Source organism: Homo sapiens, chromosome 9 (assembly GCF_000001405.40).
Source record: "Homo sapiens chromosome 9, GRCh38.p14 Primary Assembly".
NCBI classification, from domain to species: Eukaryota; Metazoa; Chordata; class Mammalia; order Primates; family Hominidae; genus Homo; species Homo sapiens.
Window position 1 is genome coordinate 106,870,945 of NC_000009.12, and position 24,282 is coordinate 106,895,226.

Below are 24,282 nucleotides of genomic sequence, written 5' to 3' on the forward strand. Positions count from 1 at the left end.
TTCTTCAGTTTTGCTCATGTCAGCTGAGTGTTTCTCTTTTGAACTGGGAAATGCCAGAGGCTGGGGGGTGGGAGCCGATGTCCTCTAAGGGAAAATTCTCCCCGTTAACACTGCAAATGTGCCTTAACATTGTACTTATTCCTCCAAAAATAATTGTTCAGTGGCACAATGTGGGATACTTGAAAGATGTTTGCTGCACAAAGGTTCCAATACTTACCTGCAGATTAAGAAATGAGTTTCTAAACCATCTCATTTCTATTGCTAATGAAAAGCTTTGGAAGGCACCTGTGAATTAGAGCTCCAGCTGCTATCATGGTAGGGAAGTTAGGCCTTGAAAGGATACGTGGATTAGCCTGTCAGAAAAGCAAACAGTAGCATCAGCACAAGTAGAAAATAGACAAGGTTGTTAAAGCTAACAGGAAAGTAGGCTAAAGCATTGCTGTAATTTTATAGTGGAAATTTGCTGGGAAGGAGTGACTGGTTGGATGGGAGAAGGAAAAGAAGAGAAGCAGGAAAATAATTGACTAGCCAAATTGAAGAAGTCTGTCCACTGGGGAAGATCCTACAGGAAGAAGTAAGGCATTGCTTTTAAGAAAGCGATTATAGCAAGTAGAAAAAGACCTTGTAATTTGGTACCTAACACATGTGAAATATGAAGACCAGTGCTCAGGTACACATTCTTTGGCCAGTTCCTATTGTAAAAAATAGAATTGGGTTTGGAGGACAATTTATGTGACTTTGGGGTTACAATTACAGCCTTTCTGATAAAGGACAGATGGAAACTCAAGGGAACTGGTTAAGTAGGCCTAGGTGGAGATTTTCCTGGAAAACGAACGAAGTAGAGAATAGAGCACAGCAGAAAACAGCTGCATTATTAATGGACAGAAAATGTGATAGTCCTCTCTGAAGTGATCCATAGAGCTTCTCTACCTACACCCTGGGTGTTAGAAGAAATGAAGAACAAAGACATGCCTTTTCAGAGGGGAAAGGAATGGACTATGACTACTACCTGGCGTCAGTTTGGGTTTCAGCCATTGACTTGAGCCAAGCGTCACAGGCTGGTCTGTCCTTCCAGTCCCAGCATTTTAAAATCCAAAATAAGGCCACTGTGGTCCAGAATGTTTAGCCATTCTAATCCCTAATTACATCATCCCTCTGTGTTATGACTAATTAGTCAGCAATTGAGCACCAATCATTCAACCCAGATTGCCATGGGCCTGATGGAGGGTCCTTCGTTTGGGGTACAATTTGAATGCTGGGTTATAGCTGAAGATGACCAAAGATAGATACCAGCTACAAGTACTTATCACCCAGAATCTTTTCTCTTCAGTGGTTTCTATCTTAAATAGTCTTCTCTGAAGACTAATTAGTATTTGATAACAATAAGTGAGAAGGGAGTCTTTGTAGAAGAGACCATTTTCTTTTTTCTTTTCTTTTTGGAGACAGTTTTGCTCTGTCTCCCAGGCTGGAGTGCAGTGGCACGATCTCCACTTAAGCAACTGCTGCCTCCCAGGTTCAAGCAATTCTCCTGACTCAGCCTCCCAAGTAGCTGGGACTACAGGCACAAGCCACCATGCCCAGCTAATTTCTTGTATTTTAGTAGAGACGGGGTTTCACTGTGTTGTCCAGGCTGGTCTCGAACTCCTGAGCTCAGGCAATCTGCCTGCCTCGGCCTTCCAAAGTGCTACGACTACAGGCATGAGCCACCATGCCCGGCCTCAGAAAAGACCATTTTAATTTAAATATCGGAGTTCAGTTGCAAGAACTTCCCCCCTTTCTGCTGTCAATTGAATATTGTCTGTTCTAATACTGGGTAAGAACAATAGAAAATAAATATGATTGCTTCATCAAAAAAATCTGCCAACTCTATAGAGTGGGAATACCACATAGGACCTTAAAAAATGCTGTCTTCCCTCGTGGACTGACTCATAGTTAATACTGGACAACGGTTTTTATTTTTTTTTAACATTTAATATGAACCAGGGACTGTTCATACGGTAGAGGAAACTGAGGTTTAGGGAGGTAAAGTAATTTAGCCAAAGTCATGAGGCTGCAAAGTGGGGGAGCCAGGATTCACATGGAGTGGGGACTGCCTCCAGAGGCCTGGCTCTCAGCTGATGGGACCCGGCCTTGGTTATTACTTAGTCTGCTAATAGCTTATGTTCTTGATGGTTTATCTCTTCCAGTTGCTTATGCCAGGAGTATATCCTTGGAGTTCTAGAAGGAAATCTGAGAATAATGGAAAATTAATTGTAATATATTATTTGATATGAGAGATATAACTTATTGCAATAGCTTGAGGAAGTGTGTTTAACTTAAGAGCGCCCTTTTCTGAATTGTAGAGGAGATGATAGGGAAAAAAAGCAAGACACCATGTAGGGGACACTTTAGGAAATAAACATTTTAAAATTATATCAAACTCAGAAAAAAAGGAGCCACCTACCTGTTATGGCAGGAAGATATGCTGGTGACTTTTTTTTTTTGTAGAAAAGGTGTTGTACTTTTTTTCTTCATAGGGCCCCTTTTGAAGCCTCAGTGCCCTGTATTGGCTCTGGTTACTATCAGCCTGAGAAATGTTCTCAAAAGCTACGCAGATGTTTGAAAATTAGTTCTATTCTTTAATGGTCATTTTTGGAACATGGTGCAGATTCTCTTAAAAGTGTGGGTGCCGATACCCCCTCCACCCCTTTTTGTGATCACCATGTGCTCTATTTAGATCATGGAGATGTGATGAGTGCTTTGGTTTTATTTGCCTGTCTCTGAAACATCACAAGATAGTAAGGAAGTTCATGGATGAGCACAAATGTCCCTAATAGAGTGACACACTGTGCTAAGGGAGATGGAGCAGATCCAGATATCCCTACGGTATCCGAGAGAGTAGCTTTTCTGCAAATGGTGGTTGGACATTAGTTGCTGAATAGACTCTTCAGCCCCCAAGAAACTAGTGGTGGTTTTATAAAATCCTAACATTGCTATGGATCTATCCAGTTGATCTCTGGTCTCCAGACAGACCCATAATCAAAACCTTCGTAGAAGGATAAACACATGTCCTGTTTATAAAGTGTACTAGAGAAGGCCACAGAGTCATCCATTTTTACTTCTCATCCATATCATTATCTACCAAATTTATAAAAACCGTTATTTTCTTAGATAAAGGACTAAAATAGAAAAAAGGCTTAGAAAAAATATATAAAGTGAACAATTGAACTGTGTAGTTAAAGAGAGTAAAATGGAACTGAAGCGTGTTGTTCTCTGGGCAGAATTTCTAATTTAGAGGAATAGGGACTCCATTCAGCCTTGGACAGCGTAAACTGTGACCCTAGGCAGTAGGGCCTAGCATTCTAGGATAATCCCTCAGAGAGCAGCCTGTCTCAAAGACCAGTTCTCAATGGGTTTCTTCAGTTTTCCTTTTAATTCTTTGAGGAAACCTACCCAGGCTACCCTCAGGAACTGCTTTGCAGGAAACAAGGTGAACTGGGTCAACATATCTTTGTGGATACAGTGAGAACTGGGAATTTGCGAACACATTCAATTTGAGGGGCTCCATAGGAGAGGAAGCTTGGGATATGTTCTAAGGAGGTAAACGTAGAAAGTTTATGTATGCAGGCCTGGCAAAGGAATCATTCATTCTCTTGAAAAGAAAACCACATTTTCAAAGACAGATTCTATGATAATTTAAAAAGTACACTGTATAGATCACATAAAATAGCACGTATTTAAGGAGGTGGAATTGTATCCTTCCACTTGTGTGGAAGTTTTTGTCATTCATTCCATCTTCTCCCGTGGCTTTGCCTCCAATTAGCAATTTTGCAGGCCTGAGAACTGAAGTGGTGTTGAAGAACAGATGTCAGCTGTTTGTGAAATTCATCCCTGCCCCATGGTTGACTCAGTGTTTCAGAATACCTCACCCATTCTTTTCTGACCAGTGGCTGTAGCTTGTTAATAATGAATGAACATCACCCATAGGTCCTGAAATTAACAAGTGTTAAATGTTAGGTGATTATTAGGGGAAAACAAGATAATCTAGTCAGTGGGCTTAATTAGGTGGTGATTGCCCAATTGCTGCTTCATGATAATTATATTCATAACCCCATTTCTAGACATCAACTACAATTATCAAAATTGACCCCAGCATAGGTAAGTGTTAGGAATCTTATTTGAAGCAGCTTCTCAACGGTAAATATCTGATGTTTCCAATGTGCTTCTGCCTGTTCTTTCTTCCCCTCTTGCCCCCTTTCCATGATCTTTCCCCCATCTTAGTAGAAAGGTCGTGGCAATATTATTTTGTCTGTGACCATGCACATATTGTATAGCTTGTGTTGGTGTCTACAGAAAAAGAAATTCTTAAGTTTTTAGGGGTCAAGTATAACTGCAAAGCTTTCATAAATCAGCAATAGGAATCTTGAAGGATAAAAATCCCAAATTGGCTGGATTGTTATTTACCTCAGCACATGAAACCTGTTAAGTCGATTGAATATGATTCATTTGAATAGATCTTTTACTTTATAAGGCATAATCTTAAAACGAAAAAGAGAGTCATCTGTGTTTAAGATAATGCCTTAGCAACATGATCACTAAGATTTGAGGGAACTGTTAATCGAGAACTTTTAACTTTATATCACCCCTTCCTTTCCTCCAAATTATGAAATTTGCTGCCAGTGTATTCTAGTATAAAAAAGAACGTGTCATTACTAGGGACGTTGTTTACTGTTTATCTCCCAAATGAAGTCAATGATTTCCAGGAAATACTAACAACAACCTGTATCAGAAGTGATACAGTGTGGGTATGTCAGTGTGACACTGTGAATCACTGGGCCAGATTGTCATTTGGCAGGCTTCCCTTTCTGACATGCAGTTATATGGGAAAATAATGCACTTGAAACTTGCACACCATGGCTGAACTTCAGAGCAACTAAGAACAACTAGGAACTCAGCTACTGTATATATTGCTTTATATGTGTATATATGTATATGTATGTATATGTACACACATGTATCTCTATACATAGAGAAAGATAGATAGATAGATACTCTCTAGGCACTTATTTTTCTCTAAAACATCAAGAGTGCAAATAGTCATCTCTTAGAATTTCTGGGGTGAAAATGCAGTTCTCTGTGCAGGGGTCTCTGTTAAGAAAGTGATGTGTAGTAGGTGGAATATACTCTTTGGGGCCACACAAGCTGAGGCTGAAATTTGTCTCTGTCCATTACTAGCTGTGGGACCTTGAGTAAGTCATTTATCCTTTCTGTCCCCATGATTTCCTACCCAGTAAAATAGAAATTATTATAATTTGAATCTGTAGAACTAACATAAGGATTAAAAAATAATATGTGTCTAAGAGTCCTGGCTCATAATGGCCAGGAAGGAAGAAAGTGATAGTTTCTTCCTTCCTCACTGATAGAGAAACTGAGGCAGAGATCTTCTCCAGGGCTTTGCCCCATTTATCTATGGTCAGTATATTAGGTATTTTGTTCTTGGTCTTAAAGTCAGCTTTTGGAATCCTGCTTGTTTAATTTTGTGCTGTGTGTCCCTTTACTGATGAGTAGTCTTTGCTGCAGTTGTCCATTCCCAGCTAGACTTTATTACATCTTCAACTGATGTTCTGTGGATGAAGCAGCACTCTGTATTGCTGTGTGTGCATTCAGTAGGAGCTTGTAAACTACCCGAGAATGATGCCATTTCCTCTTGGAAAAAGTACATTTATATGGTAACAACGCCTTCAACCTGACCTTGCAGAGCTATTCCCTGGAGTGTTGTAGGGGAACAATTTTTAATAAACATGAAGTTTTCTGAGCTTTTCAGAAGAAAGATGTTATTACTGTTCCTATTGTTTGGCATCATTCTGGCAAAAATGATATGTCGAAGAAAATTGTCCTTATTGCAGAGAAAATATTGGCTGTGCTGTTTATATAAATGTTGTCTGCCTCACTGTTGCTCTACTCACATACATATCTCTTAGCCAGTTTGAGGACTGCCCCATAGCCTGGCTTAGAAATGCTTTGGTTTTCTCTGTGCAAATGTTTATTTCAATAGTCCACATCTACTTGGTCTTACTAATGTACTATAATATCAGATGCTTTGAGACCTCACGGGTAAGGAGACTAATTTTAGAGTGTTTTAAGGGTAGATGATATTTTAAAATGTAGAAAACGTGGAATGGTGTTGGTAGGGCCTAACCAGACTTACCTTATTGGGTCTGGCCAAAAGGACATTCATTGGTAGCTTTATTGGTGGTGGTGGTGGTGTGGTGGTGGTGGTGTGAATGTTAGTGGGAAAGATGAAGAACATGTAAGTGGTTCTTTGGTAAAACCATATAGTGATTTTTCACCTGTACAAGCAAACTACTCATGATTTTTTTTTTTTTTTTTTTTTTTTTTACATTTGGGAAATTTCCAGAGAAATAAATATGTCATTGGAATGTTGTTGTTATTATTATTATTATCATTATTATTACTATTTTTGAGATAAGATCTTGCGCTGTTGCCCAGGCTGGAGTGCAGTGGCATGATCTCAAGCACACTGTAAGCCCGGCCTCCTGGGTTCAAGTGATTCCTCCACCTCAGCCTCCCGAGTAGCTGGGACTACAGGCATGCACCACCATGCCTGGCTAATTTTTAGTAGAGATGGGGTTTCAGCATGTTGGCCACGCTGGTCTTGAACAGGAGTTCAAGTGATCTGCCCACCTCGGCCTCCCAAAGTGTTGGGCTTGCAGGTGTAAGCCACTGCGTCCAGCCAGAATGTTACTATTTTTTAATTATAAATAAACTTTAGAGTTGCCACTCTAACTTTGTCCAGAGCTATTTGAGGAGGAAAGAAAAACCTTGTGTTTATTTACTGGTGTTCAAATCTCTAGGATTCTCCTAAATGAGAGATTTTTGGTCTTCAAAGGGTAGAACTCAAAACTAAAGGAGTAGAGATGTAGCTGTGGCTGTGGCAGTGGTTATTAGTACAGAATGCCCTCAATACAGTAAGAAATATGGGATGAAAGAGTAGGAGCTGAACCCCAGACTCCCTAGGACCCCTAAAAGACTGGGAGTGGGAAGGTTGTCCAGTTGTTTACTTCCTTAAGAGATGTATTTGGGAATGCTACTGTCACATGTGTTCAGTTCGTGACATGTAGGATCCTTGCTTATTTGTGACTACAGAGTAGTGGGAAAGTGATTGGCTGTGGGGTATGACCTGAATTCACTCCCCTGCCTGCCACTTCCTAGCTTTGTGAACCTGGGTCAAGCTCATAATGCTCCTCTGCTCCAGTTTCTTATCTTTAAAGTGGAATTCTCTTTCTGGTGAAGCCTGAGAGGCATAATGTATGTAAAGCATTCAGCACCCTGCCAGGGGCCCAATAAATGGCCATCTCTACCGTTCATTTGCAATGATCAATTAGGGGCCACCCAATGCCTCTGGTACAGATGGCATGCTCTTGCCATTCATCCAATGCCTGGTTTTGCATGCTTAGTTAGCAGTTGTGGGATGATAGAGTTGGAAATAATTTAGTGTCTTCATGTGTTTTATAGAAGCTGTTTATTTAAGGAATATGTGCCCATACGTCTATTCATTCATTGAACACTTACTGAGCTCCTCCTTTTGAGTGAGTACTAAGCACGGCTACAGTATGCCTAGGTGGTCAAACCCAGGGGATATGAGATCTCTCTATCACAGTTGTGTTAGGCTCTTTGTTTTGGTAATTGAGTGATTATGATGGAGATAGGTGTCCTCAGCCACATTCAAATAGCCTGGAGCCAGGGGATGGTGAAGAGTGGCTTAGGCTGTGGGTAGTGGATTCCTGTTTAGATGCATTCATTTCTACGTCTTTGTGTGTATATATTTACAATATAATCTGCTAACCATATAGTCAGTGCTGCTGTGGTTCGTAATCTGGCAGATGATTTAAATATTTACTCCAAAATATCTTGTTCTCTGTTGGTGTGAAGTAGAGTTTCCAGTTATTTTTAGGTCATTTTCATCTTAGCAACCCTGTTGGAGATGAACCAGACATGCTGCTGTAAACTGTCCCCACATTTGGATAGAATTTAATAAAGTAAAGTTTAATGGTTTGGTCCCAAGAGGCAAACAGACCATCTGGTTAGCAGAAGGTTAGGTCAAGTATTGCATGGCTGCTGAGAGGGCCACAAACCAGCCCTGACGCACTGGTAATGTGTCCAGTTGCTGAATGCATTAAGCATTGAAATGGTGCTTTCAGGTCTGCCGAGCCAGCAGTTCTGTTACCACCGCTGTGACGCAGGAGATAATTCAGCTGGGCAAGCAGCAGCATGGGGGTGGATCTACAGTACAGGATGTGTAATGTCAACATGAAGGATTGGAGCTGGCAGAAGGAAGGGAAGCAGTCATTTCATGCCAGTGCAGGAAGCCTAGAGAGATGCTTTCCACCCCCCCCCCCACCCCCCACCTTGTCTCTTGTCCTCTTCTGGAGCTTTCACATTATGTGTTAAATGATTACCTTGTGCATGGTCCATGGCAAAACTTCAGCTGATTTTTCTGCCTCTTTTGGAACCTGTCAGCATAAACAGAGTAAACCACATTCCACACACATGTAGGGCGGGCAAAGGAAAGAGTTTACTGCACAGACTGGGAGGAGGAGAAAGGGCTTCATTAGGCAGGAGCATCTTTGTGCTTGAGATGGAATCCCATTGTATGTCCCTTTGTGCTCAGATTTGAGACCGGCCATCCATTCAAAGCCTGCAATCATCTCGGAACATTGTGCTGCAGCTGTAGTTGGTAGAAGCCTGCAGAATGGTTCCAGTGATTCTGCAGAAGCTTAGCAATTATATAATTGCTATGTAACTGGAGAGAGCCATCAGGATTGTCTAGTTCCCCTGGAAAGAAAGCTTCTACAATTTGAGGGGTAGATTGTTTTCCCTTGTTAAACCTGAAAGCTGATGAGCAAGTACATCATACCACTAGGCTGAAACCAGGTCCTCTCACTGGCATGAGAGGGGAAGAAATTCACAAGTACACTTGGCTGGATATTCAGTGGACTTCACAGCTGTGTTAAAGGGAGAGAGAGCAACTCACTGACTCTTGGAATCGTGGATCCTTGTAGCAGTTGAACATGATAGTTGAATTGTTTCTAATATCTGAGACTGTGTTCTATATGCATTCAAGGCATGGAGTATTCCAGAGCTTTCCTAGGAATGGGACAAACAGAGTTGCTCGTAACCACCAAGAGCCCTCTCAATTTCTGCCGCCCGCTCAGGAGGATTTTCACAGCCTCTCTTGAATGAATACTTGCCTCAGATGCTGATCAGTGGAAGCACTGCAAAGCCTGACTCTTCAGATATTCCCGAATGCTGAAATCTTCTCTGCATCAGCTCATGATTCTGTCTGGGCCTGTGCAGTCCAGGAGCTGGGACAGACTGAACAGTTTGCCTGTGAGAACTTAACAGTGCAGAAATGAATTCCTTCTTTCAGCTACCTTACCACTTGTTTTCCATAGTTGAGAAAACTTTGAAGTGGTGTTGGCTAAATGTAGGTACGAGGGCTGCATTAAACCAGTGAGAAGTCCAAGGCTCCATTTCATCCCGTGTAAAACACTCATCTAAAATTAGCCACATCTCCTAACCCAAGTGTGGACTTTGTGTTTGTTTATGTTAAGTAGCTCTAAATTTCAGTGATCCTGCCTTTCTGGTGTCAGTTTTGTGGAGCTGCTAGAATAGAAAGAGTGGTTGTTGGGATATATTTTTATTAATGGTTTAAGTTGGGCCTTTTATAACTGATACTCACCTATATTTCTCTATTTAAATGTGTTTGTAGTCAGAACTTCAGTATAAGGGAAAAGTAAAACATTTTGGTTCCTTTGTGAATTAAAAAGGAATGTCTAGTAGGCAGTGTGGGGACCTGGACTCCCAAGATGGATTGGGTCCACACATTCCTAGACCTTTGACCTTTATACCTGTACGTTACTCTGTACCTCGTGGGTTTAACTCTGAGGTTGATAGATACAAATAGTTTCTTTAAGAATTCTGATTCCTACAAAACAATATTGGCAGGTTTTCAAGGAGCCAGCCTGTCTCAGCACTGAGCTTTTATTTTGTAACAATTTGGAGGGGTATAGGATCACCCATGGTGACCCTTTCCTGCGTCATTCCAGGCAGGCCTTGGCATGCTTCGCCAGATGAGTAAGGACGAGGACAGTTGGCAGGAGGACCTGCTGAGTTCATCTTGCTTCGTATCTTAGGAACTGGCTTGACCCTGCTCCATCATCAGTGTTTGGGCCCTCTGAGAAACTCTAGACCATCTTTTCAAACACTAGGCTTGGAGATTATTATGTTGGGAGCAGCAGCGTGCCCTCATATGAGGGAGGAGCACTTGATTCTAGCGCAGAGGACACATCGAAGGGGGACCCTTTTCTGTCAGTATTGGTAGGCCTGTGAGGACCTTGGTGGTGAGGGCCATGGTGTATAGTGGAAAGATCGTAGACCTCAGAGTCAGTGAGTAACTGGGTGACCTTGAGGGAATGATTTAATCTTTGGTCCCCAATTTCCCTATCTGGAAAAAAAATCCACTTTGTAAAGTTCTTTTGAGGAATAAAGGAAATCATGAAAAGAAATCTCTGGTGCAGAGCTTGACATATAGTAGACACACAAAAAATCCTAATTTTCTTTCCTCCCATCTTTGAGTTTGTATTAAACACTTTCTATAGGTAGAGCACTGTTAAACAGTGACTATCTGATTAGAAGTCAGAATATACCTGAGTTTTACATGAAATCCCAATTGAGGGCTCCTTGAAGCTTGTACTGGTAAAATTGACAAACATATACCTTCTTGGCTAAAGAGGCTGAGCAATATTTTTTATTATATGGTGGCTTTTCAAAGCCAGTGTGCTCCCCTATGAAACATGACTCCAAAATCTGGTAAAAGGGAAGCAAAGTACCTTACCCTCTGTTTGTGCTATCTTGAACATTCTATAATAGATTATATATTAAATTCCTTAGATGAAGTTCTGGTTTTTTGTTTTGACTATTGCTACACGACTAACTCCTCTATAGTAAACCTGAAATTTTCCAGGAATAGCACAGATGTAAGCTATTTGATTATCTAGAATCCAAATGTCTTAACAGTTTTAATGTCTTACAAGCCTTTTTTCTATCACCTCTAGTCCAGTGTGCAACTCTTCATGTTGGTGTGCAGGCAGCCTTATTGACTGGTTTCAGGGAAAAAGATCTTATTCAGTTAAAATTTAGCTGATCAACTTTGAAGGCCAACCACTGATTTGTTTCATAATGAGTTCCTGAACAGGACTAGACTAGAAGCTACAGAAAGGCAGGCTGAGTCTCCCTTGCTCACTAGTGCCTTGAGCAATGCCTAAAACAGATGTACACAGTCAAAATGTATGGAGTCTGTAAACCAAACCTAGCATTTTTAAAAATGTCATATTGCTCCTAAATATCTGTTCCTTAAAAGTGCCTACATATCTGAAACAGAATAGTCTCTTAGTTGCTTCTGAGCAGTCATTTCTGCCTGAAACATCGCTAGATTTATAGCATTCAATTAAAAAATGAAAGTTAATGTAAGTTCTCAATCAAAGAAAACTACCCATCTCTACAATCCATATTATGTACATTTTGAAGTAAGAATGTCTAACAGTCTAGGTTAAAGAAGCCAAGGAAAATTTGTTTGTCGGTAGCTTTTGAAAGATACTAATGTGAGGATGACATTTGACTAGTATGATCCTGAATGATCTTCAGTGCATTATAGAGTTAAATTTCATAGAATTGAGTCTGAAACATTGGATAAGAAAAATTCAAACTCGAATATTCAGTGATTCAAGGCCATTGGTTCTGGAGGAAACTCATTTGCGGTTTTATGTGAAAGAGGAAGACAGGTCTTTTTCCAAGACTTTCTTTGACCTATTAAGTCTAAATGGATGGTGGCATGTATTTTGTAGGGTAAATTGGTGGTATGGAAGCCTCAAGGAATATAGGGAAAAACGTTATGGAAAAAAATGATGAGTATGTAGTGTTTCCTATCAATTTAACAAAATTGGAAGGATGAAGCAACGGAACCAGGATGATAGTCATGTTCTTTGAAGATGGTCAAGCAGATTCAGAAAACATCCTTCTTCACCTTTGACTTTAGTTCTTGAACATTTCAATGGAATGATTTAGATCATTGAAAGTCTACTATGTGCAGAAGCCTTCTAGGTATTAGGTGACCTTGCAGTATTAAAGAAACCCATGGGTCCTGTTAGTCCCAACCTCACTGAAGGACATATTCTGAAGAGCCAGCTCATTAAGCAAGCTTTTGAAGGGTGTGCGCTGCAGAGCAGTTTCCTGTTATTTGGTTAATGGTTGACCTAGTTCTAATGCCATATGCTTCCTGGAACGCATTCTAATATAAAGTATGTGTTAAAGCAAGACTAGGATAATAGCGGGAAAGTCAAAGCCTTTCTAAAGCAGAGACCATATTAATGCTGGCCCAGTGAAGGCAGAATAGTGTGCGGATGGAAAATGAAAAGACTTTTCTCCTCATGATCCTGTTTGGTAATTCTGATTTTAATCCTCACATTTTATCCCAGTTCATTCTAAGGAGTTGCATTTTCCCCAGAATACCGTATACATAAGGCCTGCGTCATTAGTTCATTTTTCAGTGAATGCTAGGCCAAGGTTAGTGTTGAAGTACCCTAAGTAAAATTATTACTGCAAGGAAAGATTAGATTAGAGTTGGCTAATGGCAGGTGATTTTGTTTTTGTGTTATTATTTTTGTATTGTAAACAGGGGATTAGTAAATCTTTTCCTCTGAAGTTTGGATGCGGTTCAAAGCTAAGATTGAGGCTCCTTTGGCTTATTTATCCTTCTACCTGGAATCAGCAGCCCTGGCTTGTTCATTTAGATGGACAGGGGAGCCTACGCAAGTCATGGGGGCTGGTGAGCAAACTCTACACCAGGCACACAAGTGTTTGTTTTAACAGCTTCAGAATGTGAAGAATCTGTAGGTCTAGTCTGCTAATTGCTGGATATTTGGGTGGCAATAGAGGAAGCTGTTATGCTGTCTTCATTGCTCATAAAAAAATGTTTAAGCAACCACAAGTGTGTATATATGGTGGGGGAAGGGTGGACAGCTCCCTTTTAAAAAGTTTTCTTTCTAAATCACCATAAACTTGTGGTATGCAGCAGTGATTCCTAAACCAGGCTGATCTTCAGAATTATTCTGAGAACTTAGAAACAAAAAGGGATTTATTAAAAATAGACTTTCAGGTTCTACCACAGGAGAGGAATTCATTAGGTCTAGGGTAGGAGCCTAGAATGTTTATTCTTAGAAGCCAGGTTTGGGAGCCACTGGTCTTGGTATCATTAAGGAAGGGAGGAAGAAGCAGCCACTGTGCTTGAAGAGTTGACATGCAGGAAGTAGGAAAAGGAAAAGAGTTGCTGTCAGAACTTGATATTTGTGGCTGCTAATAATTTGAGCTATGGAATAGGCTTTCGTCTTTTCTTCTCTAGGAATTTAGTACCTTCAGAGCACCTTAAGGGTACTGTATACTGAGTGATTTACTCACTACTGTGGTTACTGGATACTGAGTGATTTAGGTTTGGGAAATGTCATCTCGGTGACAGGCTACATACTGCAACCACCACCATCCACCTCTGCCCTGTCCCCTTCCTCCCACCATGGAGGCAGTGGAAACAGAATATCTGTCATTCATCAGTTAAATTGGATGCAATTTTTTCATATTAATATATTTGGCAGAAACAAAGGAAACACATTATGTTGATTTCTGTATACAAAGAAATTGCTGTGAATTCACCCAAGTACATTTTTGGTTTTTTTGTTTGTTTGTTTGTTTTTTCTATTGACAATAAGAGATGCACTTGTTGACCGAGGACTTGTTCCATATGGCTTCCTGCCTGGCCTGGTTTGAAGCTGTTGCTTCTGATATTGGGCCACTGCTAACTGACCTAGTTGTAAATTAGAGTAACGTTGGCTAGAGGATCAACACGGTCTAGGGTCTAATAGTATGCCTGATGTGTAGTTGATCATCAATGCTTATTAGTGAATGACTGAGCCAGCTCAGTAGATGTTTCTTCAAAAGATAAGAAGTAACTTGGAGAGGTTAAGATTCTGCTTCAAAGCAATGTATGTGTTCAACATAACCTTTCTAGAGAGATTTCTGCTTTAATCTCAATAAAAAGGAAAATGGCCCTGTTGCAAAATTTGGCAGGTCAGACACTTCAGCTTCCCAAGAAAATGCAAGGAATTTATTTATTTTCTTTACATGTTGTCTACTCCTAAAACAACTATCACTACTACCATTAAACTCTCCATATACATTAAAGGAAGTGCCTCTAGAATAAATGTTGTTAAGAGAATTTAATCTTCACTTTCCTTCTAACTTTAAGAGCCTCATGGGAATGAAAAGAATGTTGTTTTAGAAGTAGAAGAGAAGAAACAATTGAGTAGAAAAAGAAAATAATTTGAGAAAACTTGTCTGGTTGACAGTAATTTTTTAGTAACAGAAAGCAGCAGTCATGGCCCAAGAACCTGTGGTTCTTGGTTGTGTCCTTGCCATGCTTAGAAGGTTCAAGAAAGGGAGTATAGTCTCTTTAAAGTTATTTTGAGGAGTTGGACACTACCTACTAGGTTCCTAATGCTTACCCAAGTTAAGAGGTTGAAGTGCCTCCAAGACTTTAAGTAGCAGCTGAACATGTGATCTTGTTAACCCTGAGATGTTGCTGAAAAGTGACTCAGATCACCGTGGCAAACAATCCTGTCCAGTTCCAGCTGCCCCAGCAGAACTCAGCATTAGGTCACCCTTTAGGCGTATGGTGCAGAGCTCATGCTACCATCAAGACTTTAGAACAAGGACAACTTGAAGTGGCTATCTTGCACATGGGACTGATGTTGAGGACTGCTTGATGTTTTGGAGCCCACCTGATTCTTAAGAGTTTCCAGTTCCTCTATCCCTATTCCCTGTCATCACATAAACCACTTGGAGAGAAGGGGAGGATGCCAGAGAGAGTCATGTTCTGATAATTATTTGCTCTTTGGATATTTCCTCATCTAGATAGACGGGACTTTTTGTTTTCCCCAGGAAAAGGTAACGTATGCTCAAGGTAGCCTTAAAAAAATGTGTGATGCCTATTTTAAATAAAATAACAAACTAGAACAGTTTGTATTTTATTAAATAATAATCAAGAGGTAACTCATACCCAAGAAGTGGGTTTGTTGGCCTTAGCCTGATAGGTGGTAGCCACATAATGACTCATTGAGCACTACTGACTTAGTAAAAAAGAAAAGTAGGGGTGGGGTGGTTAAGAAGGTGGCTGGGATTGTTACCTCACTGGACCGCTCTTTAAACTTTCTCTGTCTTTTCATGACTTGGGTATGTTTATGTAGATCCAAAATTATTTTAAAGTTTGAAGTGTCTTTCTGTTAGCTGTGTGAATGTGCTGCCTATTTCGAAAGTTGATAATGACTCAAGGGTATCCAACTCTCAGGATTCAAGCCACTGCATGTTGGCAATGTAGTAGATCCTGGTTTTAAAAATAAAATGCCAGGATGCCACCCTGAGGATCCAGACATAGGCTGTGAGCACATTTGAAATCCACATCCTCAAATATACAACAATGTCAGCTACAAAAAAAATAGAAGAGATAGGGTCTGAAAAGGAAGGAGCTCCTGTCATCCGCAGTCAATGTGAAGAAACTGGTTATATGGACCTAGGAAATCATCCCACTTAACCCCTTCATTTTACAGCTCTGGAAAGGCTGAAATGATGTGTCCAAAGTCCACAATGTAGGAAGTTAGTTAAGGAAGCCTGAAATGGAATATCAGTTTTCTGCCCTGGTGATCCATGCTTATTCCACTACAACAGTGTTGGCAGATAGCTTCTATTTCTCGTGCCAATTTTGATTGATTGGTGGAGAATGCCTGGAGCTTCACTTTGAGGATTCTGTGCCTTGTCTAGGCTTGTTGGAAAAGAGTGTGGAGATCAAGCAGAGAAGTCTGCAATAGGCGGGAGAGGGTAAATGACAGGCGGTGGCACTTCCCTATACTTGCTGTCCCTTACAATTATGTGACTTAAAATTACAGCCTTACTCTTTACCAAAACACTTTCTCCCTTGGTGTTCATGAAGACATCCTATTTCCAAATGTTTTCAAACAAAAAAGAGAATATTTAGTCAAGGGCAGAGAATCTCATTCAGAATAGCTTGTCCAGGTGATTTATCCAGGGTAACTAAGTTGTTGAGTAGCAGTTTGAACGAATGATAAGGTTTTCACCATAAGTTTTATAACCTATCATGAAGAGCTGTCTTTCTGCATTGTTGGTATTGTCTAACCCTGATAAGGCTGAGGAGTCATTCATCTGTTTCACCACCACCTTCTAACATGTTGTTCTTACATGTTATCCACAGCTGGCTTTTCCTTGCCTACATCCTCCTAGGCCATCTACTAAATCCTCTCCCTCCGTAAATGGAAGTATAAAAACAGTTTCACAAAGGTCATAATTTGCCCAGGATAATACAGAGCCCAACTGGAACCTTGGTTCCCTGACCATCAGTATTCCAAGATACTTCCTGACAGGTTTCCTACTTATTACAATAAAACTAGAAGGAACCTTTGAGGTTATTTTTTTAATGTTATCTTATAGCCAGAGAAGTCGAATCCAAGAATATTTAAGGGACTTGCTCAAGGTAACGAAGTTGTTTAGTAGCACAAACACCCTCTGGATCTTGAAAGCTAAACCCACATTGTATATACATCTATTTCTTTCCTTTCTCTCCTTTACTTTAATGAGACAAATGAACTGTTTATTGTTGAATTCACAGGGGTCATGATTGCGTTGCAACATACTAGAATCTCTAGATTTCAAATAGAATGATGAAACTGTGATTAAAAAGGACTTTTTGGGTTATCGTTACATAGTTTATGTAGTACATTTAGAAAGAAAGACTGATAATAAATTTTCTCGTAACACGACCCTCACAAGTGTAATTTTGGAACCCTTTCTACTTCCAAAGACAAGCTGTTGTGAAGATGAATGTGGGAGATAAATGTGCCTGGCAGTCTAAAGCATGCCATGAATTCGTGGTTGTCTAGCCCAGTGCTAGGTACATGATAGCTGTTCTGTAAATGTGGATTTTTTTTTTTTTTTTTTGAGACGGAGTCTCCCTCTGTCGCTCAGGCTGGAGTGCAGTGGCGCGATCTCGGCTCACTGCAAGCTCCGCCTCCCGGGTTCACGCCGTTCTCCCGCCTCAGCCTCCCCAGTAGCTGGGACTACAGGCGCCCGCCACCGCGCCCGGCTAATTTTTTGTATTTTTAGTAGAGACAGGGTTTCACCGTGTTAGCCAGGATGGTCTCGATCTCCTGACCTCGTGATCCGCCCACCTCGGCCTCCCAAAGTGCTGGGATTACAGGCGTGAGCCACCGCGCCCGGCCAAATGTGGATTTAGATCTACCACCAGAGCTCTGTCATGGTTATCTTTTTATGTACGAACTGACAATACTTTGCCCTGAATAGGGTTAGTGTTTGGCAGGGAGGAAGCTATGTTTCACTGGTAGAGCAGTCTGTTAACGTCTAATTTGAGATGAATGCTATTGATAACAGCATAGAAAAAGCTACTGTCATTTCCAATTCAGTTGCATCCATTTGCCCATCTTGGCCAGTTTGGAAAACATAACTGGGGCTCTTTTTTGGCGTCTTCAGTATCAGATAGCTCCGTATATGCAGTGCCACTGTGGTCTGTTGCCATTGGCTACTCCACATCTGTCACTCTTCCCACCGTATTAGCTAATAATGAGAGAGAGTTAACCTAGATTTCTAAGATCCTGGTGTTCAAAAGTGTTGACTCTTGGACCTCTTGAGGAAGTAGGCAAGGTGGGCCACCTTGGAGCTTTTATCCTCTGCTGGAATATTTCCTTTTGAAGTGCCACCATTTATAGAATCATCAATTACAAACCTTTCCCATGTTCCTTCTGGAACCTCAATCTAACCTTGAGCCTTTGTTTTTGGAAGATAATGGTACAATTTCTACACAAAACTGGGAACAAACTACTTTTAATTCCTTTTCCTCTTAGTTGTTTCAGCAGAATGATCCCCTTTCACTTTAACAGAAAGATTCTCTTTCTAGCTTAAAATATTCTGGATATGCTTTAACTTGCCTTGGGGTCATAGCACACATCTCCCAGGACTGATGAGTCTTGTCAGTTGCCCCAGGGTGAGAACTTTAATAAGCAAATTGCACACACCTGGTTTTGCAAAATATTGGCCTAATGGGGCACCTAGGTGGAAGTCAGTAAGTATGTCCACTCCCTATGTACACACCCTTCCTCCCCACCCCTTTTAAAAGGGAGGCCTCAGAAATGCTACCTCCCCATTTATCTTGTAAAACTTTCCTGTCTCTCCTTCGCTGTGCTCGGGTAGCTCAGAGGGTTGTGATCGTTAACGAGCTCAGGGTGTTACTGTCACTGCTGCTGTCTTGTGGATTTGAAAGTAATGCCGTGATGGGATGTGGTATAGGTACGGGGGAGTCTGGTTAAAAGGGAACAGGGCTGGAGAACTCTCTTTGTCAGACTGTGATTCCCCCTGCTCTGCTCTTTGATTTGTGGCTGCCATTGGTGTTTACACAGCCTTTCCCCGCTCACACTTTCCTTGGTTAGTTGAAAAGAAACAGCCTGTTTTCCTGTTACTGAATGCTGGACCGTGGGCTTACTTGTTTTTTACTCTTTTTCATTCATTTGTTCATTCATTTAAATACTTACTGAGCATTTGACTGCTTCCCAGGCTTTGTGCTAAATGTTGGCTCTACAGAAATGAAAGACCTAGACCCTGCCTTTCAGAGGCTCATAATCTAGTATTTACATCTCCAGTTGTCAACAGGTCTAACACATTACCACCACCACTAGAAGTGGTGCGTTTTAATGCATTTTATTTGGCTTATGTACTATCTTTATTTGCTGACGATCAACTCCCCCAAATAAAGCTATTTGGATATCTTTCTTGTTATCCATTCTTTCAGACATATTGGCTTACCCAGGTGATTAGAGTGCAGGGTAACTGCCTTAAGAAGCTACAGTGGCATTGATACTTACACATATCCAGGCCAACTAATAGGTGTGACCATTTCTTTGTTTTATGCTCTAGTGTAGAGCTTGACTCCACCTTACTTTCCGGCTGCCATCCAGTTAACATACCCACAGGATTCTTAGACTAGGCATACATCATTGTATATATTCTGCCTAAAAGTTTGTAAAATCTAGTGGTGGCATTTAGCTCTTTTGGCAATAAAAACTATATGTGAGAATTTCGTGGCCTTGACTGAGCTGTGTATGGCCTCACTCTTCAATTCTGTTGTCAGCCTATGTTCCACAATCATTTGTGTGTGTGGACCTCAAGAATTTCAGTCAACCCGGCAACACATGCAGTGCCCCTTCCGGGAACACTGGTGATCTTCTGGTCTCTTGGTTTGGAGTTAATTAAACATTGTCGGGAGAATTCCTTCATTTCCTTCTGGAGTCCTTTTTGGGCATACAAAAATCTAGCACTTGAAGCCACTTAATCAAATATCATATCCACACACCTGCAGTTCTTTCTCTGTGTCCACAAACATGGTTTTACACTTGGATGATGTAGTTAGGCTCAACTCCATTTGTAGTGAGAAACATTTGAAGCTTGTCCCCACTCAACAATGATGATGCACTTAGGCTTACCTTCGTAATATGGGTAAATGTCTCAGGTTAGCCAAATGTACCTAGGGTCAGAGGGCATATGCTCTGATATGGAATTTTGGAGGTCATTCCCTGCCTTTGTCCTCTGCTCTAAGGCTCATGTCACTCGCATCATGCTGTGACATGAAACAATATTGCATCGTAGGGAGTGCATAGTAGACTATGTTGTTCAATTATCATGAGATTACCACATACTCTTGCCTGGAATCTTGCCAGCAATAGTGAACAAAGAGATGACCCAAGCAACTTTCTCACTTTTATTCTTGAAGACTAAATGGCATCCTTAAAATCTGATGGTTTTCTTTGTACCTTTCTGGTTGAGTAAAGAATAAGATAGTCTTTTTCTTTTTTGGAAAAATCGTATGGCTAGTACAGGAAATCAAGGAGATTTTTAGCTAATTTAGTAAAAAAGTCAGAGGTGGAACAGAAAATACACCGGCTGAAAAAGGAGATGATTGATTTCTAGGAAATGGGAGATTGTTTGGTATATTTACAGTAATGAAGAAGAGTTCTTCCTGGAACAAAAGTACTGAATAAATAACAACAAGAGACAAAAAAGAAAAATGCATTTCCCTGGTACACAAACCTTGAAGCTCATGCTTTTTGCCATTAGGAATTCTGAACATGTCTTGAATTCTTAGACTTTCTTGATTTTTAAAATCTAATATTTAATTCCAAAATAATTTTTATTCATGTCTGCGTTTTCTTTGTTTTCCCCCTGAGTTATCTGTGTCCTCTGAAAGTTTAAAAACAAGTGATTTTTTTTTCTCATCTTGTTGGCGGAGACATACAATAGGCTGCCTCTCCCCTTCTCTGTGGAAAGAATGGAAACATAGTAAGTGGCCAGAGGAGCTCCATACGGATTGACATTCCTTGCTTCTGCTTTTGAAGTTAAGATGGTCACGAGAGAGAAAAATATTTTTGGTTCCAAGCCTAAGAAAAGGACATTCCTTTTAGTCTTGGCATTCTTGTTTTCATGGTGTTGATTTCTCTTTGAATTATCATTAGTACCATTAATAAATCACATCTGAACGTGAAATCACTTTTGCAAGTTCTTCCCCTCTCCACACCCTTGATTATAGAAAAGGTGACGTTTCTTGATATTTATCTGAAGTAGCTTAGAGTATGTTTTCCTGGCTTTTTGTTCCCCCCTCTGGATGGGTTCCCATTGTTGATCAAGCATATTCAAGAGAGTTTTTTCCCAAGAGTCCTGAGAGACCCATCCATGCATTCTATTCTGTTAAACAAGGAAAATAATAATAATAATGTTTAGCTTTCACCTTGCTTTAGAGAGAGAAATCTCAGAAGAACCATTTTCCTTTCAGGAGGATTGGGGTTCTTAGGTTAAATTCCATATTATACAAATTCCCTAATGACAAATAACCTATGCAATCAACAATCTTTCTTTTAAATGTATTTCTCTATTGAAAGAGCAGGGGATTCCATTTGAGGCTGTTGATTAAGACATGAAGACTAGGTCTAAAATTGGTGGTGGCCCAAGGTCATTGGTAGAACTAATGGACCATTTGAAAATTATTAGCAGCTGGTTTAATAGAGTTTTAATAACTACAGCTGTGAGAAAATCCAAGTACAAGGTATTTGGAATGTTCCCTCTGAGGTCCTTTCCTTTTGTTCTATAATAATCCTGGCATCCATTTAACGAAAGTGCAACTCAGAAGATTAGGTAGCTATATACGTAAGCATATCATGCAGGCTTTATTTGCTTTAGGTTTTTACCATTAAAAATATTTTTAGGCATCATCAAACTTGTCACACAACCTGCACATCCCCATGCCCCACTCAATAACACCACAATCTCAGGGTCTCACAGTGTTGGAGAATTTCCATGGCTCATCTAAGAGTTCTTCTCACTTAACATTTTTTATTGAAAATTTTTACCGTATCTAAGGATTTGTGGGGTTCAATTTGCCAAACTCCAAGGCAGTGGAAAAGAAGACAACTGCATCAAGTCAGTTTCTGGTTTTATATAGTTTAACAGAAGAATAATTTGCTTAGATCTTCGCCTTCATATTTGGAGGCATATACTCACACACACACACATGCACACACACACGCACACACACACACACACACACATGTTATGCATAGATGAATAATATTTAGTCTGCAAAGAAATAGGCCTGTTTCCTCCGTCATCTGTACCTTGCTAACCCAGAGACTTGACATGGAGGAGGAATGCAGAGAGCCTTTCACCCTTAATGGATTCCACAGCTGTGAGTCACCCTGGCCCCAGGCTTCTCGCCTTTGCCTCATCCCATTCCTGCTCTCACAGTCAGAGGTCTGGATCTCCAGTTACTGACTTTGGAACTAGGGGGAAGATGACACAGGTGACATAAAACAAGAGCCCCCTTCTATATCTCAGAGCAAATTCCTGAAATATACTACCAAAACATAAAAGTGTGGACGTCAACTTTAGACAAATCCTTGCCTTACATTGATTTGCAGAGCTCTTTAGAAATCAGACCATGGCTTTCAGTATACATTATATAAATGTGTTCTTCACAACACGATGCCAAGAAGCAGATGTGCTCTCTGAGACCCACAGAGGTCAAGCAACTTCCCCAAAATCATAGCTGGTTGATTGCCAGGACAGAGACCCAAACCTTGTCTTCTGACCAGCCCTTTCCAGTACACCATGGATGACTCACCCACAAATGACAAATGCTTTGTAGTCTTTTAAAGGAAGTTGGGGATATTCAGGGGACATCCTCTAACCTTGTGAGAATGTATCATCATGGAAGGAAATCACCATCCTTTTCATAGAGTAGTCCTTGGAGTCAGTTGCTGAGATGGCTTGCTATGGCTTTTGCAGGATGGATTTTAGTGATGATAAAGGACATGGTAAATATTTGGTAATATAACAAATGCCCATGGAACTTGTAAACAGTACTATCATAATTGTTTCCATTTGTCTTAACCGCACTCGAAGCGATATCTCCTAACTCATCCCCAAACTAATATGTCGAAAGCAACAGGCTCTGATGGAGAGGGAAAGGGGTAATGCTAACAGTACTCAGGAGACGGCAGGAACTATATTTTCTAAGAGTCAGATTCCCTGCTATTTCTGTTGTCTCATTTAATCCTCACTATATTGTTGTGCAGTGGATGTAATTTTATTGTTATTTCTATTTAGCATATGAGAAAACAGAGGCTTTAGACAGGTTAAGTAACTTGCACACTTGTACTACGTGGTAGGTGTCAAAAAACTGGGATGTGAACGCAGGTCAGTTGCGCTCTATGCATTGTGAAGTGCTGCCTACAAACCTCTTTGAGATTATTGAGAAATGTGATCCTGACATTTCTGGAGGACTAGAGAAGTCCATGAAAATATATGGCTAGGAATTACTGGCAACAGACTATGTGCAAACTGACTTTTAGTATTTCCTCATTTAATCCTTGTTATAATCCTATGAAATAGTACCATCTTTACACTTTCTACAGTGAGGAAATGGAAGCAGAGAGAGGTTATACAACTTGCCAAGCAAGATCTGACCATTGTTAATTGATAAAGACTGGATTTAAACCGGTAGGTGGGCTGCAAGCCCATGCTCCTCACTGCCATACTGGGTGCTGCTAGGCCGAGGTTCAAAACAACCCTTGTTGGCTGAAGGTTTTTTTGAGCTGGCTCAGCTCTGGGGTTGGTGCATTCTGTAAATGATCAGTTTGACAGTGTAGGTAGTAGAGACATGCTGCTTTAAGAAAGAACTTTGTATCTCTATTACAGAGAGAAGATATAAAGATATTAGTTCAGTCTTCCATAACACGATATAACAGACTTTTCATTTTTATGCGGGAGGGATCTCTAACTCTTTAGTCTTTATCTTAAGGAAAATGTAAAGGTATTACAGGGTTGTAAGCATGACAACAGATGTGATTAGATTAGCTTTTTAAATCTCTCACTCCAGATGTTCAGCTGCATTAGGTAACTACCTCAAGGTGAGTACCAATGAAAACTCTTAAATAAGTACTTTGTTCAAAGGAATCCTTCAAGGTTTTCTAGGTCTGTGCTGTCCAGTGTGGTAGCCCTGAGCCACAGGTGGCTGTTGAGCACTTGAAACAGTGAAACAGCCCTTGAAACAGTGCCTGATCCAAATGGATATGGTGCTGTAAGTCTAAAATAAACTGAATTTTGAAGCTTATTAGAAAAAAAGGATGAAATATCTCATTAGTAAGTTTTATATTGATAAATATTGTAAGTTTTCTATTGATAAATATAAAAATATTAAGATAATATTTTTGGATATATTAGGCTATGTGGACTGTGTTATTGAAGTTAACTACACTTGTTTCTAGCTGCTAGAAAATTTAAAATTACATACATGGCTGGCATGATTTTTTAATCTGACGCTGCTGGTCTAGGTAATTTCCTTGCTCTCTAGTTAAATAGGAAATTTATGGGAATACCATTAGCATAGGTTGATGCACTGCTTCTGAGTACCCTTTGTTTAAACTATTCCAACCTAAGGTCTGTTGCTTCTTGGATAATATTCCATACCTTTATTGGCACTGTTCTTTTAAAATTCAGTTAAAAGTATCATTTTCCATTTATTACCAAAGAGTAGACTGTTCTTGACAT

At 40.3% G+C, this 24,282-nt stretch overlaps 1 protein-coding gene across 31 annotated transcripts in view, besides 3 other annotated features; it reads left to right on the forward strand.

The window, feature by feature from the left end:
• ZNF462 (zinc finger protein 462) overlaps positions 1–24,282 on the forward strand; it is a 153,477-nt gene that overhangs the window by 10,787 nt on the left and 118,408 nt on the right. For 2 of the 31 annotated variants that reach the window (XM_017014997.3, XM_047423671.1), the window contains exon 1: positions 1–24,282. This exon is cut by the window's right edge and continues 11,217 nt beyond it. The exons of 28 other annotated variants lie outside the window; for them this stretch is intronic. The gene's annotated coding sequence lies outside the window, so the exon portion shown is untranslated. One more of the 31 variants, XM_047423678.1, reaches the window with a different exon arrangement.
• Positions 257–1,456: an enhancer, noted in NCBI's record as "BRD4-independent group 4 enhancer chr9:109633482-109634681 (GRCh37/hg19 assembly coordinates)". NCBI's record gives its function as "activates an origin of replication core promoter dependent on BRD2, P300/CBP, MED14 and CDK7 cofactors, and independent of BRD4, by STARR-seq in HCT116 cells {active_cell/tissue: HCT116}" and the evidence as "EXISTENCE:reporter gene assay evidence [ECO:0000049][PMID:35650434]".
• Positions 7,484–8,231: an enhancer, noted in NCBI's record as "OCT4-NANOG-H3K27ac-H3K4me1 hESC enhancer chr9:109640709-109641456 (GRCh37/hg19 assembly coordinates)". NCBI's record gives its function as "activates a minimal SCP1, AML or CMV promoter by ChIP-STARR-seq in naive H9 embryonic stem cells {active_cell/tissue: H9 hESC(naive)}" and the evidence as "EXISTENCE:reporter gene assay evidence [ECO:0000049][PMID:30033119]".
• Positions 21,582–22,081: an enhancer, noted in NCBI's record as "NANOG-H3K27ac hESC enhancer chr9:109654807-109655306 (GRCh37/hg19 assembly coordinates)". NCBI's record gives its function as "activates a minimal SCP1, AML or CMV promoter by ChIP-STARR-seq in naive H9 embryonic stem cells {active_cell/tissue: H9 hESC(naive)}" and the evidence as "EXISTENCE:reporter gene assay evidence [ECO:0000049][PMID:30033119]".